Source organism: Homo sapiens, chromosome 4, assembly GCF_000001405.40.
Source record: "Homo sapiens chromosome 4, GRCh38.p14 Primary Assembly".
Taxonomy (NCBI): domain Eukaryota; kingdom Metazoa; phylum Chordata; class Mammalia; order Primates; family Hominidae; genus Homo; species Homo sapiens.
The window spans coordinates 185,132,381-185,150,618 of NC_000004.12; the positions used below are offsets into that span (position 1 = coordinate 185,132,381).

General features: G+C 44.8%; 1 protein-coding gene across 1 annotated transcript, besides 1 other annotated feature; it reads left to right on the forward strand.

Annotated features, from left to right (window-relative positions):
• Nucleotides 10,658-10,957: a silencer, noted in NCBI's record as "silent region_15847". NCBI's record gives its function as "represses an Ori minimal core promoter by ATAC-STARR-seq in GM12878 lymphoblastoid cells {active_cell/tissue: GM12878}" and the evidence as "EXISTENCE:reporter gene assay evidence [ECO:0000049][PMID:35858748]".
• Nucleotides 10,886-18,002, forward strand: SLC25A4 (solute carrier family 25 member 4). Its single transcript, NM_001151.4, has 4 exons — nucleotides 10,886-11,103; nucleotides 12,384-12,870; nucleotides 13,379-13,519; nucleotides 14,434-18,002. The coding sequence occupies exons 1-4, from the start codon at nucleotides 10,993-10,995 to the stop codon at nucleotides 14,589-14,591; spliced, it is 897 nt and encodes a 298-aa protein (NP_001142.2). The 5' UTR covers nucleotides 10,886-10,992; the 3' UTR covers nucleotides 14,592-18,002.

The window sequence follows — 18,238 nt, forward strand, 5'->3', positions numbered from 1 at the left end:
AAGGATATCCGTTTTCTTTGGAAAGAAATATTGAATATTATAAAAATACAAATGCTCCTTAAATTAGTCTTGTAATTGAATGCAATCCCAATTAGAAATAATTTTTACATTAGACATGGTAGTACTGATATAACCACCATTTGACACCCATTAGGATGGCTACTATCAAAAAATAGAAAATAACGGGTTGGTAAAGATGGGGAGAAATTGGAATCCTTATGTGCTGTTGGTGAATGTGTAATGGTACAGCCACTATGGAACACAGTATGGGGGTTTCTCCAAAATTGAACATAGAATTATGTGATCCAGTAATTCCACTTCTGGGTATATAACCAAAAGAATTGAAAGCAAGATCTCGGCCGGGCGCGGTGGCTCACGCCTGTAATCCCAGCACTTTGGGAGGCCGAGGCAGGCAGATTACAATATCAGGAGATCGAGACCATCCTGGCTAACACGGTGAAATCCCGTCTCTACTAAAAATATTTTAAAAATTAGCCAGGTGTGGTGGCAGGCGCCCGTAGTCCCAGCTACTCGGGAGGCTGAGGCAGGAGAATGGCGTGAGCCCGGGAGGCGGAGCTTGCAGTGAGCAGAGATAGCGCCACTGCAGTCCGGCTTGGGCGAAAGAGCGAGACTCTTTGTCTCAAAAAAAAAAAAAAAAAAAAAAAAAATCTCAAAGAGATGTTCTTCACCCACGTGCATAGGCAGGATTATTCACAACAGCCAAAAGGTAGAAGCAACACTGTCAGTGGATGGATGTATGAATAAACAGAATGCAATACATACATACGATACTACATTCAACCTTAAAAGGGAAGGAAATTCCAACATATGCTGCAACATATAGAATGAACCTTAAGGACATTAGGCTAAGTGAAATATGCCAGGCCCCAAAATTACATACTGCATAATTCCTCTTATATGAGATACCTAGAGAAGTCAAATTCATGGAGACAGAAAATGGAATGGTGGTTGTCAGGGGTGGAGGGATAGGGGAATAAGGAATTATTTAATGGGTACAGAGTTTCAATTTTGCAAGATAAAAAGAGTTCTGAGGATTGTACAACAATCTGAATGTACTTAACACTGCTGTAATGTACACTTAAAAATTGTTAAAATGGGGCCAGGTGCGGTGGCTCATGCCTATAATCCCAGCACTTTGGAAGGCTGAGGTGGGCAGATCACTTGAGGTCAGGAATTCGAGATCAGCCTGGTCAACATAGTAAAGCCCTGTCTCTATTGAAAATACAAAAATTAGACAGGCATGATGGCACACACCTACAATCCCAGCTACTTGGGAGGCTGAGGCTGGAGAATTGCTTGAACCTGGGAGGCGGAGGTTGCAGTGAGCCGAGATCATGCCACTGCACTCCAACCTGGGCAACAGAGTGAGACTCCTTCTCAAAAAAAAAAAAAGTTAAAATGGTCAATTTCAGCCAGACATGGTTGCTCATCCCTGTAATCCCAGCACTTTGAGAGGCCAAGGCGGGAAGATTGTTGAGCCCAAGATTCAAAACCAGTCTAGGCAACATAGCAAGACCCCATCTCTACAAAAAATATAAATAAATAAAAATTAGCCAGGTATAGTGGAGCATGCCTGTGGTCCCAGCTACCGGAGAGGCTGAGGCTGGAGTATTGCTTGAGCCCAGTAGGTTGAGGCTGCAGTGAGCTGTGATCACACCACTGTACTCCAGCCTGGGCAGGAGTACAACAGCAAGGCCCTGTCTCAAAAAAAATTGAAAAAAAAAAAAAAAAAGGTCAGTTTAATATTATGTGTATTTTACCACAATTTTTAAAAGAAACACCCCCCCCTCCCCAAAAAGAGTTCATTCCTTTTTGTGTGTGTGTGTAGAGACAGGGGGCCTCACTGTGTTGCCCAGGCTGCTCTCCAACCCCTGGCCCCAAGCAATCCTCCTGTCTTGGCCTCTTAAAGGGCTGGGATTACAGGCATGAGCCACCCCACCCGGCCTATCTTTTTACTTTTGACCTATGTGTGTCTTCATAGTTCAAGTGCCTTTCTTGCAGCAGCATATACTTGGGTCTTGCTTCATTTTCCCCATTTGAAAATCTCTGCTTTGACTTAATTATTTCCCCTATTGTTTTAAGACTGCACTGTATGTCTTCTTAAGAGTAGAAAGGGTTTGGGTTTTTTTCCCTTAATTTTGTGTACTATTGACAGATCTTTGATAAAAATTAGAAACTTAGAATACTATTCTGAGAATAGCTATGTGTGACCTCCCTCTAGTGGCCACATTGAATAATGTTATGAAATGCAAGCATTTCTTCAGAGCTGAGCTTCTCCACGGCAAGCTATGCACATTGAACTATTAATTTGACTTCATTGTTGTCTGCAACTGTGTATAAACTGGTATCACAGTCCTGAGAGACACTCAGTGCCTAAATAAGCCAAGAGGGGGAAACTTGGCCTCCTTGGAACCTGGAAAAATAGTAGCCACCTAAAATAATTAATAACAATTACGGTGTCATTAGCCCTTTAACATGTAATTCAGAAACACATGTAGTAGTTGGCATATGATAGTTATGGTAAATAAGCAATGGAAACGATTAATTTCAAGGACATGTAGAAGGAGGACAAATAAAAAGTATAAAATAAAATGGCAGAAATAAAATTTTAAAATATGGGCAGTCATTCCTTTGCAACTTCTTTTGAATCTATTTCAAAATAAAAATTAAAGAATATCAGTGGTAATAATAAATGAAAAATGGATCCAAACTCTATAGTAAAATAATGAGAATTTTTCTGAGCACGTGACACATTCCTGTAATCCCAGCACTTTGAGAGGCTGAGGCGGGCAGATCACCTGAGGTCAGGGGTTCAAGACCAGCCTGGCCAACATGGTGAAACCCCATCTCTACTAAAACTACAAAAATTAGCCAGGTGTGGTCGCGGGTGCCTGTAATCCCAGCTACTCAGGAGGCTGAGGCTGAGGCAGGAGAATTGCTTGAATCTAGGAGGCAGAGGTTGAAGTGAGCCGAGATCACAGCACTGTACTACAGCCTGGGCGACAGAGCGAGACTCCATCTAAAAAAAAGGAAAAAGAAAACGTAGAGGTTTACAGGGGATATACTTATACAGAATGGTTGAAAGTAAAGAGTTAGAAAAATATAAACTAGGCAAATACAAACCGAAGGAAAACAAATAGCTCTATTAATTTGTGTGTGGGGTGGAAGACTTTAAGGCAAAAGGTATTACTACAGATAAAGAGGGCCACAACTTAATGATAAAAAGTTAAATTCACCAAAAAGATATAACAATTCAAATATTGTATGCTTTTATTTTTAATGAATTAATTAATTAATTTGAGATGGAATCTCACTCTGTAGCCCAGGTGGGAGTGCAGTGGCGCTATGTTGGCTCACTGCAACCTCCACCTCCCAGATGCAAGCAATTCTCCTGCCTCAGCCTCCCTGGTAGTTGGGACTACAGGCATGTACCACCACACCCAGCTGATTTTTGTATTTTTAGTAGAGACGAGGTTTTACCATGTTGGCCAGGCTGGTCTCGAACCCCTGACCTCAAGTGATCTGCCCGCCTTGGCCTCCCAAAGTGCTGGGATTACAGGAATGAGCCAATGTGCCTGGCCTATTTATTTATTTATTTTGAGACAAGGTCTCACTTTGTCACCCAGGCTGGAGTGCAGTGATGCGATCTTGGCTCACTGCAACCTCCGCCTCCTGGGTTCAAGCGATTCTCCTGCCTCAGCCTCCCGAGTAGCTGGGATTTAAAGGTGCCTGCCACCATGCCTGGCTAATTTTTGTATTTTTGGTAGAGATGGAGTTTCACCATGTTGGCCAGGCTGGTCTCAAACTGCTGACCTCAAGGGATCCACCTGCCACGGCCTCCCAAAGTGCTGGGATTACAGGCTCACCGCGCCTGGCCCTTGCATGCCTTTAAAAACAAAAGGCTTGAAATATATAAAGGAAAATTCAACAGACCTCAGGGAGAAATTGATAAATCTACCATTAAAATGACTATTGTTTTATATGGCAGGCAGACACATAACAGAAGATCACATTTCTGCTAGTATAACTGCTCTTCATTTATATGATGAAATTCCATATACCTACATTTCACAGTGCTGCACAAAAATGATGGCGGGTTCCAGGTGCTCCCTCATTGGAGAAATCTGAGAACCATTGACCTAGATATTAAAGTGCATTATTTTCCTATTCATTCCACAAGCGGTTACTGAAAGACTATTGTGTTGTGTTGAAGGCGTAAAGTTTACACATTAAAGGAGTCAGTTGCTGTACTTAGTTTAGCTATTTAATATAAATTCGTAGTTCATAAGCTTTTTTTTGTTGAGAGATGGGGTCTCCGTCTGTCACGCAGGAGTACAGTGGCGTGAACACGGCTCACTGCAGCCTCCATCTCCTGGGCTCAAGCGATTCTCCCGCCTCAGCCCCCACAAGTAGCCCAAGTAGCTGGGACTACAGGCGCACCATCATACCCGGATCATTTTTGTATTTTTGTTTTTAGAGATGGGGTTTTCCACACTGCCCAAGCCGGTCTCCAACTACTGAGCTCAGGCAATCCGCCCCCCTCAGCCTTCCAAAGTGCTGAGATTACAGGTGTGAGCCACCGCGCCCGGCTTCATAAGCCAATTTCACAAAGATTTATAGAGAAAACCACCCTGAAGTGCCCCCCCCAAATGCGCCTGGCGCACACACACACACACACACAGTTAAATCTCAGTCTCTTTCTTAAAGAAATGTGCTTGCTAGAACAAGGAACAGTAATGAGTTTCCAAAATTCTGATGTCTTCGGTTATATTGTTTTTCAAAAATAAGAAAAAAATACAGTAAGTACAAATATTGGTCCACAAACTCAGCTGGGCAAGGCAACTTAATTTCTATTCAGACTCCATTCTGTCAAGCGGTGGAAATAATCCGGGTCCCCGTTTCTCTCCACTGCTGTCCCATGGATGACTAAGAAGGCGAGGAGAGGGGCGCGTGGTCCGGGTCTTCATCTGGCCGTGCTGGCACCCGCGGCCTGGCCCGCATTCGCTTCCGGTCTTCAGTCTGTGCTCCATCAAGGGTGTTCTTTCAAGGTCACACTTTCCTTTCTTCCAACCCTGAGGCTCTTCAGGCCTGGCTTGCTGTCAGCGGACTGTGGTGGCCTTGAAAAGGAAACGTTATTCTGCTGCTCCTGCGCCACATTGGAGACATTAAGAGCAGGAAAAGCTGAACGGGGCTCTCTAGGGACCTTCACTCCAGCAGGCTGCCTTCATTTTGCGGACTATGGACACAAGCAAATCCCTCAGGTACCAGGGATCTGTTCTCCGTCTCCCTCATTGCACTTGGATCAACCCTGCAAGGCTGCCTCTGCCCTGTGTGCTGAAACACCGCCCGGCCGTTTCTTCCCCTGCATCTGTGCCTCCCTGGGCTGCGCAGAATACAGGCCCCTCCTTCCCAGGGATCCACACGAGCCTCACATTCTTTGCTTTCTCTCTAACTTTCTTCCTTTCTCTCCAGGTTTGGGAAAACTTCATATAATCTTTGTAAGAGTAGCTGAGCAGGAAGTTTTTTGTTTTTATGGAGATGGAGTTTTCGCTCTTGTTGCCCAGGCTGGAGTGCAGTGGCGTGATCTCCGCTCACCACAGCCTCCGCCTCCCGGGTTCAAGTGATTCTCCTGCCTCAGCCTCCCGAGTAGCTGGGATTACAGGCATGCGCCACCACGCCCGGCTAATTTTGTATTTTTAGTAGAGACGGGGTTGCTCCATGTTGGTCAGGCTGGTCTCGAACTCCTGACCTCAGGTGATCCGCCCGCCTCGGCCTCCCAAAATGCTGGGATTACAGGCGTGAGCCACCGTGCCCGGCTGTGTGCAGAAAGCTTTTTGTTTTCCCTCAAGTATTCTACGAAGTCCACTGGGCTTGAGTTTTTTCTCTTCCTTTGGAAATTCTAATGCCGAGAATAGACTCTTACTTCCTCTGCTTCCTGAATGTTTTCTTTTTCCTGTGGCAGTGACACAGAACGTCTAGCTGACTATGAGGAAAGGGTCATGAGGTAAAAGAACGCATATGGAAGAAAACCCTTATTCATTAAAATAGCAAAATATTGTTCTTCAGTAGTACAGATGATAAAAAATAGTCTCTGATAACATTTGTTGCCTACTGATTTTAATAATAGAAATAAAGCATGTTTTTAAAAATGATTGATAGGATATGTGAAACACAAAACACTAGTTCAAAATGTGTTTAGAAAATGGACCCAGTCAGCTCCAGGTGAGTAACGGTTTTATTCACAGAGGTTGCCCGTGGGCAAAACTGGAAGATGCCAGCCTGGAAGGTGTGTGGTTATGGTCGGAAGGCATTATTATGCAAGCATAAACATTAGCTTCGTTGTGTTGTATGATACTCAATGTGCTTGTTGGACTCTTCAACAAAGTAAAGAGAGGTGCTAAGATTGGAAGTGGGAAAAGAAAGGTTCTGAATCTGTCTGGGAAGTGCACGGGGTCCGCCTGTGTCTATCAGGGGTGTGCTACGGGGGTCCCCCAGGCCTCCCTGCCTCCAGCAACCAAGAGGCCAACCTGAATCAGTTTCCCCCGGAAGCAGAGTGCCTTCTAGGAGAAGTCCCTCTGTCTTTTCTATGATTCAAGGGCTCCTCTGCCCCCTCAAATCACCTCCTTTAAATAATAAGGCGCCAAATCCTTCTAACAAAACTTTTTGTTTCACGAACATTCATAAAACGTAAAAAGTACAAGTTCCGGTGGAGGCAACACACTGAAAGTCACTCTGCTGGAAGTACAACCAGAACCCCCTCTTGGGTCCTTGTCCTTGCCAGGCTGCGTTGGAATTGCCTGTAGGCACCACAGCTATGTCTGTTCCTGGCATGTAAGCTTCTCCACATAGCCTGGGCAACATAGCAAAACCAGGAGACCACAGCAAAACCTGCAAATTAAAAAATATATATATCCGGGCATGATGGTATGTGCCTGTAGCCTCAGCTACTCAGGAGGCTGAAGCAGGAGGATCCCTTGTGCCTAGGAGTGCATGGTTTCAGTGATCTGTGATTGTGCCACCGTGCTCCAGCCAGGGTGACAAAGCAAGATGCTGTCTCTAAAATAAATAAATAAATAAATGCACATATAAATATCTTGATCCTCTTCGCTTAATGCTGAAACTTACCATGTGAACAAACACTAGTAGTGTGTTCTAATTCCTAATACTTTAAATGTACACTTGCACACAGGCATTATGTTATCACCACCATTAGCACATCCTTTATTGTTTTTCTTTATTCCTTGTCACTCTTACTCTTTAGCAACTTCCATTCTCTATTCCCAGTTTGGTAAGAGACTAAGTCTATAAGAGCTTCCACTAAAATTCCAAAAGGCTAACTTTCCACCCTGCTCTCATTTCTACATGGCCCTGTTCCCACCAGCATCTAAGATCCCATCCACGATTGAAAGTAGAGTTTCTTCTCATCTCCTAGATGCCTTGTCCATTCTCCTGCTGGAAGAAAGCCACTAAGTACTGGGTTGGGCGGGTGGACACATGTTCTGCCGAGCGCCATTCTCTCCCCTGCCTGTGTAAGTGATACCAGGATCTTGTGACCACAGGCAGCTCATGCTCCCGAGGGCATGTAAGGCCTCTCTTTTCTGAGAAAGTCCGTGGAAGCAGAGGACAGTGTATGAGTTTCCATGGAAAACCTCTTGTCAAGGATTCCAGCTATGACTCCTTCTATAGAACAGGATAACTGGAGAGTAGCCAAGGAGAAATATATCTCCCATTTAGAAAATATCCAAAACTCTGATTGGTAAAATTAAGTGTAACAAAGATGATACTACTTCCTGAATTCATATATTAATTAATATTTAATTTAGTTTAAATGTCTATTTAAAATCTTCTGGTGATGTTTAAACAATTGAACAACTTGATAGTAAAAATAAATCCAGACACATAAGCAGATAAAACTTTATTTTTTAAGTGATTGTAGAATCATATATCAGCCTATTTTTAAAAAATGAAGATCAAATAAATATGTCATAGTGTGGATATTTCATAAATTAAAGCTATTATGAGAACTTAATATATGACAAACTAGACTTAGTAATATAAGACAAATAATGGAGAGAAGAAAATATCTACTTAAGAATTAGTATTGGGATACCCAAGCATGATATGGAGAAAAGTGAAATTAGACCCATACCTCCATACAATATAAAACGTAGTGTTAGACATTTTAAAAATAGCTACTCAAAGTAGAAGAAAAAAACTGATATATGTACTAGAGTAAATAGACTGCTATATCTATAAAAGAGATACATTTACATCAGAACATGAAATAGATCATCATCATACCATAGATCTGTTCATAACACTAATAGAATGATATAATAAATATCAAAAGGAAAACAACAAAATGAAAAACATTCAACACATATTTATTGTCCCAAATATATAAAGAATTGTTGTTAATATAAATACTCTGCTTTCACTCCAGCAGTAGTCAAGGAAGATTAAAAGTTTATACAAAAGGGAAACCTTGTCAAACTGTCAAATTAAATTGAATCATATGGAATATATACAGCTTCATAGTAATTAAGTAAATACAAACTAAAACTCATAAATAACTCACAAATAACCAACTCTCTATTTTTTTAAAGCCAGTGTTGGAGAAGAGTGTGAGAGAAAGCCCATCTATATAACTGGTGGGTTGGTATTTCTGAAGAGCAATTTGTCAATATGTAGCAAAAGCTACAAAACTTTAAAAATCTTAAATCTATCCATTCCATTTGGGAAATATATGAGAAGAAAAAACTTAGAGGAGAAAATGAAGTTTGTGTAAGTTTCAATGTAGCAGTATTAGTTTTCCTTCCTTCCTTCCTTCCTTCCTTCCTTCCTTCCTTTCTTTCTTTCTTTCTTTCTTTTTTTTTTTTTGAGTCAGAGTCTTTCTCTGTTGCCCAGGCTGAAGTGCAGTGGAGTGATCTCAGATCACCATGACCTCTGCCTCTCGGGGGTCTCGTGCCTGAGCCTCCTGAGCTGCTGGGATTCCAGGCATGAGCCATCACGCCAGGCTAATTTTTGTATTTTTAGTAGAGATGGGGTTTTGCCATGTTGGCCAGGCTGGTCTCGAACTCCTGACCTAGGTAATCTGCCAGCCTCAGCCTCCCAAAGGTATGAGCCACCACACCCGGCCTATTTTTCATCATAAAAATAAGACACAATTCTAATGCACAATTAAAAGGAAAATGGAGGTATAAAAGCAAGTGCTCTATATTACAGGATGGGATACAGTACACTATTATAATTAAAAAGGTTTACTGTGTGGATTATGCTGATCCATGGAAATCAGTAAGTGAAGTTTTGATAAAGTGGAGCAAGTGACGAATACACTGAACTGTAAGGTCTTTGGAGATGGGCCACGTCTACTTATATTCAATCCACAGGGCTACACCTAGTTCTTGGTACACAGTACATGCTCAGCAAGAGTCTGTTGAATGAACACATACATGGTTTATCTGTTTGTCTCTTCCGAGTTCTTGACTTCTGTCTGCTCTGACCTCTGGCAGCTTTCCACTAGTTTCTAGCTTTCATTCTGCTTACCTGGATTTCGGAACTCTAGCCTGCCCCACTCTTAGATAAACGCATGCCCTCTGTGGCCCTGGAACCTTAGTGACTTCTGCTATACCAAAGTCTCCACGCCCAGGGTGACACGCAGCTGCAGCTCCGTAAACCTCTAACATGATGTCAGCAAATATTAAAAAAAAAAAGTTTATAAAACAATGAATAAACTTTGTTAAAGGTACAAATGAAAATTAGCAAACATGGGAAGATAATTGAGTGAAGAGTTTAAAGTTAAAAACGAATTGCAGTCATTCTAGGGGAAGGAACAGTTGTATTTGAAAACCTGTATGGTTACATGAACTGCCTAAAAAACAAGCTAAGGAAAATTAAAGCTCAGATTTATATATTTTAAGAAATTAATTGCAATTAATTTCCTGGGATTAAATAGCATTTCCTCAACCCCAGCTGTCATTAAAAAGAGGCAAATACAGCCAAGGACTGGATCTCCGGAAGGCTGACAGCACTGACCCTCAAGAAGGCACCGGCTGACAGACAGAACATTCTGCCCTAATATGTGCTGAAATTCCGCTGAGAGCAGAGTGGTACATTGAACCCTTTAGGGGCTTACAAAAGAAGTGTCCTGTGTTTTAGAGTCACAGAGTTTTGCAGAAACAAGTATGAATTCACCTAGTGGCCCCCTGCACCAGGTCTTTCCTGTGGGCACTGAGTGCCAGACACATCAATATGTAATAGCAGAATGAATGACTGAACGAACGATTGAATGAAAAGAAATGAGAGGCAGCAGGTTGTCAGATTCTATGAGGCAATCACAGCATCAGGTGACCTTAGTATCTATTTGAGAGGACTGCCATTTATTCTCGGGAGCGCACGGCTCTAAAGAGGCCCATATCCAGGCAGTGAGCTCTGGTGGGGGGCGCCTTTAGATGCAAGAAGGAGGAAACAGCTCGAAATCCCTGGGCCTGAGCGCGGCCCGTGCAGGCCGGAGGGTCAAGAACTCTCCACCGGCGGCAGCGGCCCGGTGTCTGCCCCGGCTTCGCCCCGGCCTAAGGCTGCCTGTGCTATAAATACGCGGCCCACATGCCGCGGTGACACGGTGTTCCCTGGGCTCGGCGGGACAGATAACATGAATGTGCCCTTTAAACGTCCCAAGTTGCAGGGACAGCCCCCGGCCCAGCCTCGCTCCCGGAAGCGCCTTCGCCCCCGATGCCCTCTGCAGCTGGGAGGAGGGGGCGCCCCGCACCTGCCCAGCCAATGCGCGGCGCGAGCGCCGGCCGCGACCCGCCTCCTCTCGCGAGAGCCCGGCGGGGATATAAGGGGGAGCTGCGGGCCAGGCGGCGGCCCCCTAGCGTCGCGCAGGGTCGGGGACTGCGCGGCGGTGCCAGGCCGGGCGTGGGCGAGAGCACGAACGGGCTGCCTGCGGGCTGAGAGCGTCGAGCTGTCACCATGGGTGATCACGCTTGGAGCTTCCTAAAGGACTTCCTGGCCGGGGGCGTCGCCGCTGCCGTCTCCAAGACCGCGGTCGCCCCCATCGAGAGGGTCAAACTGCTGCTGCAGGTGAGGACCGCGCGGTGCAAGAGGCGGGCGCGGGCGCGGCGGGCCGGGCGGGGCGCGCGATGCGGCGCGAGCTGCAGGGCGCGGGGCGCCGCGGAAAATCTGCGCCAGGCCACAGGCCCGGGCGCCCGCCCGCCCGCCCGCCCGCCCGCGGGGGAAGAAGGTGCCCTCTGCGTAGAGACAGGTCCAGCGTCAGTCGCAGATTCCTGGTGTCGGGTGGCGCCCGGCGTTCGGGTGTCTATATATGGAAACCCACCCGGAGCCGGTTTACGTGTGCCAGATCCTGCGCCCGTGACAGCACGGGCGTGCACTCAGGCCCGGAGGCACCTAGTGATTGCCAGTATTTTTGGCACCGTCTTATGCGCACGCACCTTTACAATAAAAACATCAAAATAATCATCACCCAAGAATTCCCTTATCGTATCTCATGCACAATGCTGTATGTAGGCTGACGCCTTCATCTTTATGTAACCTCTGTGAGAGAGTTATTCTTCTCCATTTTACAGATGAAGCTGAGGTTTTGAAATATTAAGAAACAATTTTCGGAATAAACTCAGATCATCCTGTCTCCAAATCTTTTCCTCCCCTACCTGGTCGCTGAATGGTTTATCATCCTCTCGTGTTTTCCTCCACCTGCCCAAAAGGTCAGGGCCCCTCAATGAGGAAGAGCCCAATTTGGGAGTCAGAATTACTAACAACAAAACCCCCACAAATTGCTCACAACGGCAGCAAACCCTTAATAATTGATTACTTGGATTATCTGCTTGAAAACTTTGGAGGCCTAATGTTTAGTGGATTTATTCTCCTTCCTCTATTAGAGCATCTAGTAGAGATCCTCATCTCCAGGGTGATCAGAGTGACACTGAGAAATTGTCATTTTTTGGCCATCATGTCTATTAAATCCAAAGCCCTTTGAAGCAGGGAGTGTTACTCATTTCTGTCCCCCAGTAAGCCCCTCATACAGTTCTCAAACCTAGGGAAAGTGAAATAAATAAATGGCTATAGCTTTATATAATTCAATCACCTTTTCAGTTTATTTGGGGCAATACCTTTTCCCTCAAATACCCTAATAATTGAAGCAACATTGGATTATTTTGGCTTGTTATCCAGTAACTAACATGGATAACAGTATCCATTTACACGTCCTCAGTATCCATTTGATTTCCTCATCCTTTTTTTCTTCAAAAAAAAAATCTAGGAAGTGCAAACCTTTTTTTTTCTCCTGTCCTCTTCCCTTCTCTCTACCCTGCCTGTCCTCTGTCACCCACCCTCCCCTCCACCAGGTCCAGCATGCCAGCAAACAGATCAGTGCTGAGAAGCAGTACAAAGGGATCATTGATTGTGTGGTGAGAATCCCTAAGGAGCAGGGCTTCCTCTCCTTCTGGAGGGGTAACCTGGCCAACGTGATCCGTTACTTCCCCACCCAAGCTCTCAACTTCGCCTTCAAGGACAAGTACAAGCAGCTCTTCTTAGGGGGTGTGGATCGGCATAAGCAGTTCTGGCGCTACTTTGCTGGTAACCTGGCGTCCGGTGGGGCCGCTGGGGCCACCTCCCTTTGCTTTGTCTACCCGCTGGACTTTGCTAGGACCAGGTTGGCTGCTGATGTGGGCAAGGGCGCCGCCCAGCGTGAGTTCCATGGTCTGGGCGACTGTATCATCAAGATCTTCAAGTCTGATGGCCTGAGGGGGCTCTACCAGGGTTTCAACGTCTCTGTCCAAGGCATCATTATCTATAGAGCTGCCTACTTCGGAGTCTATGATACTGCCAAGGGTGAGAGAGGGGCATCGGGGAGAAGGAGGGTGGTGTGGAAAGAGGATCCTATGGGATCTATAACTCACAAAGGACCTGATATATATTGATCTTGTTTTTTCTAGTCTCTGGGATAATTGAGGCTTCTGAATGAGGAGGTGATGTGCATAAGTTAATAGCTGAAGCGTTCCTTGTGTCCTCTACTGAAATAAACTCTGGCCTTTAGTTATTCAGAGAGGAGGAGGGGGGAGCCTGTCTCCCTCTAGACACAGCCATAGCAGTTACTGAGTTTAACTTGAAGCCACTTCCAATGCCCTGTATACAAGCTGAGCACTGCCCCTCCGGGGTCCGGAGAGGGCAGCAGCCACCTTTGCTGTCTGCCTGGTCATATGTGAAGCACCTGCACAGGGGCAGGTTCCCCGCAAGGTCAGAGCATGGAGCTGGAGGTGCAGTGGCCTCTCTCCCTCCACCTGCTTTCTGCTGAGAACAGGCACTTCATAGCCGTTCGGCTTCTGGGCTCTGTCCACAGGGATGCTGCCTGACCCCAAGAACGTGCACATTTTTGTGAGCTGGATGATTGCCCAGAGTGTGACGGCAGTCGCAGGGCTGGTGTCCTACCCCTTTGACACTGTTCGTCGTAGAATGATGATGCAGTCCGGCCGGAAAGGGGGTAAGCTTGTGCTCTACTCATCTAAACTTGTTTGGTTTTGCCCGAGGAGAACATTTTACAGGGCTCCTTTCAGTCTTCCTTACTGGAAATTAATTTTCAAAATTATTTGATAAGGACTTAGGGAAGAAAGATGGTATTAATTCCCCCTAACGTTCTCAACTATCCTATTAGGGAAAAGTATTTTCCATTTTATTAGAGATGATAAGAACATGAATAGTAAGACATTTAGATGTGAATTTAACTAGGTATCCAGCATTATAGAGACCCTAGGCCCTCTTCCCTTAGAGCCTGGGTGCAAAAGCTAGGGAAAAGAAGTAGTTAGCTACTTCTTACAAAGAACTCTTGCTTCCCTCCTAGTTACAGGTGTTAGTGGGATGGGGTGTTTAGCTGGGTAGAGATGGCCTGAAGCAATCTGTTGTGCCAGAGAAAGTTTTGGCTTCTATAGGTTGAACCATACGAAATTGCCACTTTAAAAGTCAAAAACAGTCCAATGTTAGCAGTTTCGTATGTTTCAACGAATAGTTACAGCCTTTTATTTAGACTGCATAACCTCGTGCAGGATCATCTGAGGCTCGGCCTCAGTTCGGTCCTCCATAAAAAAAGGTAACCGCGTAGCATAATACTCCTGCTCCACTGCGCCCTTCTTGTTTCGCAGTTGGGCAGTCCATGAATTACTTGGTTAATTGCCCCAGTTCTTCACTGACCTTGAACTAATGGAGTAGGAATGACAGGAGACCCAGCCTGCCAGTGAAGCAAGGAAGGAGATGTCCAGTGGGATGTTGCATGGAGCTGGGACTCCATGCCCAGATGACCCTGATTTTATAAAACTGGTAACAGTGTGTACAGATATGTTTCAGGGGAAAAGTCTCTTTCCTCCAGCGTTACGGAGCCCTCACCAGCATTTGTTTCCACAGCCGATATTATGTACACGGGGACAGTTGACTGCTGGAGGAAGATTGCAAAAGACGAAGGAGCCAAGGCCTTCTTCAAAGGTGCCTGGTCCAATGTGCTGAGAGGCATGGGCGGTGCTTTTGTATTGGTGTTGTATGATGAGATCAAAAAATATGTCTAATGTAATTAAAACACAAGTTCACAGATTTACAGTGAACTTGATCTACAAGTTCACAGATCCATTGTGTGGTTTAATAGACTATTCCTAGGGGAAGTAAAAAGATCTGGGATAAAACCAGACTGAAAGGAATACCTCAGAAGAGATGCTTCATTGAGTGTTCATTAAACCACACATGTATTTTGTATTTATTTTACATTTAAATTCCCACAGCAAATAGAAAATAATTTATCATACTTGTACAATTAACTGAAGAATTGATAATAACTGAATGTGAAACATCAATAAAGACCACTTAATGCACGCTTTCTATTTTATTGAACTCTTATTAACTGTAAAATGCATTTTTAAAAGATCAAAAATGCATATTTTCTAGCATGATTCATGTATCAGTCAGCAGCCAAGCTTCTAAATGCCAGATATTATATTGAGAATGTATTATATGAGAACGTACAATGCTTAAAGTTCCGGTTTTCAAACTTAGGCAGGTCATATTCTATCTATCTTATCCAGCATTACTGTAGGCTAGAAAGTGATAATGGCTTTCATAATCCTGCCTTGTCTTAGGCACTTTCCTGCAGTCTTTAGAAATTCTAAGATTCTGCTAAAAGTTTTAAATCACAATCTGGAGAATTTTCTATGATTAGGAAGTGCTCTGTTTTCATCCCTTTAGATAACTGTGACACCTAGAATTTTATGTTAAGTAGAGAGTATTCATTGAAAATCAAGGCCAGGTGCAGTGGCTCACACCTGTCACCCCAGCACTTTGGGAGGCAGAGGTGGGCGTATCACTTCAGGCCAGGAGTTTGAGACCAGCCTGGCCAACCGAGCGAAACCCCATCTCTAATAAAAATACAAAAAATTAGCTGGGTGTGGTGGCGCACACCTGTAATCCCAACTACTCAGGAGGCTGAGGCATCAGAATCACTTGAACCCGAGAGGCAGAGGTTGCAGTGAGCTGAGATGGCATGCCACCACATCCATCCTAAGCGACAGGGCAAGACTCTGTCTCAAAAAAAAAAAAAAGAAAGAAAATCAGTTGTCTTAGTTTAAGCTACTATAACAAGGTACTGTAGACTGATGGCTTATAAGCAACAGAAACTTATTTCTCAGTTCTGTAGTCTGGAGGTCCAAGATCAAGGTGACACTGTGGTCAGGTTCTGATGAGGGCCCTCTTCTGGGTTATAAACTACGGACTTCTTGTATCCTTACATGGCAGAAAGAGCGACAGAGCTCTCTGTAGTCCCTTTTATAAGCTCACTAATCCCATTCATGAGGGCCCTACCCTCATGACCCAATTACCTCCCAAATGCCCCTCCTCCAAACACCACCACTTTGGGGGTTAAGATTTCAACAGATGAATTTTGAAGGGACACAAACATTCAGTCCATAGCATCACTTATCAAGCTAGTATTTAATACCTCTTAGGCCCCGTGGAAGGGAAAATAGATAGGAACCTGCCCTGAAAGATGCTTCAGTTGGGGAGAAAAGGTGAAATTCCATTGTTAGACAATTTGTTTAAGACAATACATCTTGCTTGAGAAGGAATAGAAGGGAAATGAAATGGGGGGAGGGAGTGGTAGGAGATGGAGGCTTTGAAAGAAAATAACCAGATTTAGAAACATGGGTATAGAAAGCATCCTCCAGTACTTCTGTAACAATTTATCAAGACCTACAGGAAGTCAGTTTTGGATTTGCTCCTCCGAGATTTGCGAGCCAGAGGAAAATACTTAGACTATCAGGTTGGAAAGTTCACACTTGGACCAGGAAAAGACCAAGCAGTTGCTATAGTCTCCTGGATTGTGACTAATCTGGAGGAAGCAAGTCCCTGTATCCTTGGCAAAGCTTGAAAGGCAGGCAAATGTCTTCTCTGTGTTTTCTGACAGGTGGTTGGGTGGTGGGGGTTGGTCTCTGTACCTCCTGTTCTTTACCTTGCTTACCAAGCCCTTCCACCGACTCACTCCTGCCTCCCCAGCTAAAAATTGGCTGTGTTGCTTTTACCACAGTTACCAAGGTCTGAGTTTTATAAAATCCAGGATCACATCTGACCTCACCTGGTAGATATCTAGGCCAATAAAGTCTAAAGGGCTAAAAAGAAGGTACCTCTCCATCCTGTCTCCTCGAGGCCAGGCAGCACATGTGCAGTTAAGAGGCCTCCTGGATCCATTGTCCTCCTGTTGCTTTTCGTTCTAAGTGATCCAAACTCTATTGCTGATAGGGAATAAAAGCAGGGCAGGCTAGTAGTGGGCAAGTGCTTTGATGGAGCGTATCTCCAAGCAGGGCCCAAGTTTAGGAGGAGGAAGACCTGATACAATGAATGAACAGTGCGTCCTCCCAACCCAACCAAGAAGTGTAATTGTGTTCCGTCTTTAACCCTGGCATGGAATGGGGAGGGAAGAGGCATGGACATTTATTACATAGTGCACATTATCTACATTCTCTGCATGTGACCCAGATGTCAGCCCTTCCGCTTCCTGCGAAGGTTACCTCTAATGCACGTTGCCCCAGGCCCTGCTGAGCTAGTTCCTCACCGCAGCTACTTAACTCACCATGAATTCCTAGAACCCTCAGCCTCTGAGAGTGCTGGGATCTGGCGGGAGAACAGGCAGTACTTCCCTCACTAACCTACCCGCACGCCATACCATCATTGTGCAAAGCTGCCTCATGCTGGAAGGTCTGGTTTACGTAAAAGTGACAAGTTGGAATTGAGCGTCCGACTCTCGGGTACCTGCCCCAGGCATTTCTCATCAGCCCCATTTCCCACACAGCTCTCTCCTAGGCGCAGCCCTCCTTCACCACCACCACCCCCACCCCAATCACCTTTAGGTATTTTCTCCCCTAAAGCCTCACCTGTTGGCATTTTACATCTTTTTAAGACCTTATTTTGTATTTTAAATGTATGAGAAAAATTATGGAGGATGATGCAAGATGAGTGAGTCCATAATGGTAATAATTGGACACTAAAAACAATGAAAACTTGTCTCAAGTATTTGTGTTGAAATCTCAATTAACTGGGCGACTGCTCCCGTTCCATTTTATTCTGTAAAATATGTGGCATCCTTTGTGTTGAGGCGGCATTTACTAAACACCCCCAAGGTGCAAGGCTGCAAGAGAATCGAGCGCCGCAAGGCGAGCTTATCTTCCACACCTGGTACAGTGCCCAGGACAGAGAAGGTGTTTAGCAAGTTTCTGCTGAATGGAAGAGTGAGCGAGAAGGGAAAGTGCATCTAAAAAGCACAGGGAACCTACAAAATATTTGGGAAAGGGTTTCATCAGTTCGGGTGAAATCTTGAACGTGCAAAGCACCATGGGGGTGGCTGGACAGGCTTGTTGGAGTCGTATAATGCAATGAATAAAAACTTACGGCTGCCTTAAATGCAAATGTCAAGCCCTTAAATAAAATTTAACAAAGTCTACCGTGTCACAAATTCTTTGCTTTTCTGCTCCTCCTCAATATCAGAGATTTTATCAATCCACAATAAAGTACAGTTGATCTCATTCACAGATTACATATCTGTAAACTGGCTTCACTGCCAAACTTCATTTGTAACCACTTTAAGGTCCTTGGACACACAGAATGATGACAAACTCAAGTTGCCTGACACACATCCCTAGCTGCAGTGGAACAAGGTGACACTTACCCCGCCTTT

Excerpts from the sequence above, each read along its gene's own strand:
- SLC25A4 (NM_001151.4), top strand. The coding sequence starts at position 10,993 with ATGGGTGATCACGCTTGGAGCTTCCTAAAGGACTTCCTGGCCGGGGGC. Across the intron at positions 12,871-13,378 it reads AGTCTATGATACTGCCAAGG|GGATGCTGCCTGACCCCAAG; the intron begins GTGAGAGAGGGG and ends CTCTGTCCACAG. Across the intron at positions 13,520-14,433 it reads GCAGTCCGGCCGGAAAGGGG|CCGATATTATGTACACGGGG; the intron begins GTAAGCTTGTGC and ends TTGTTTCCACAG.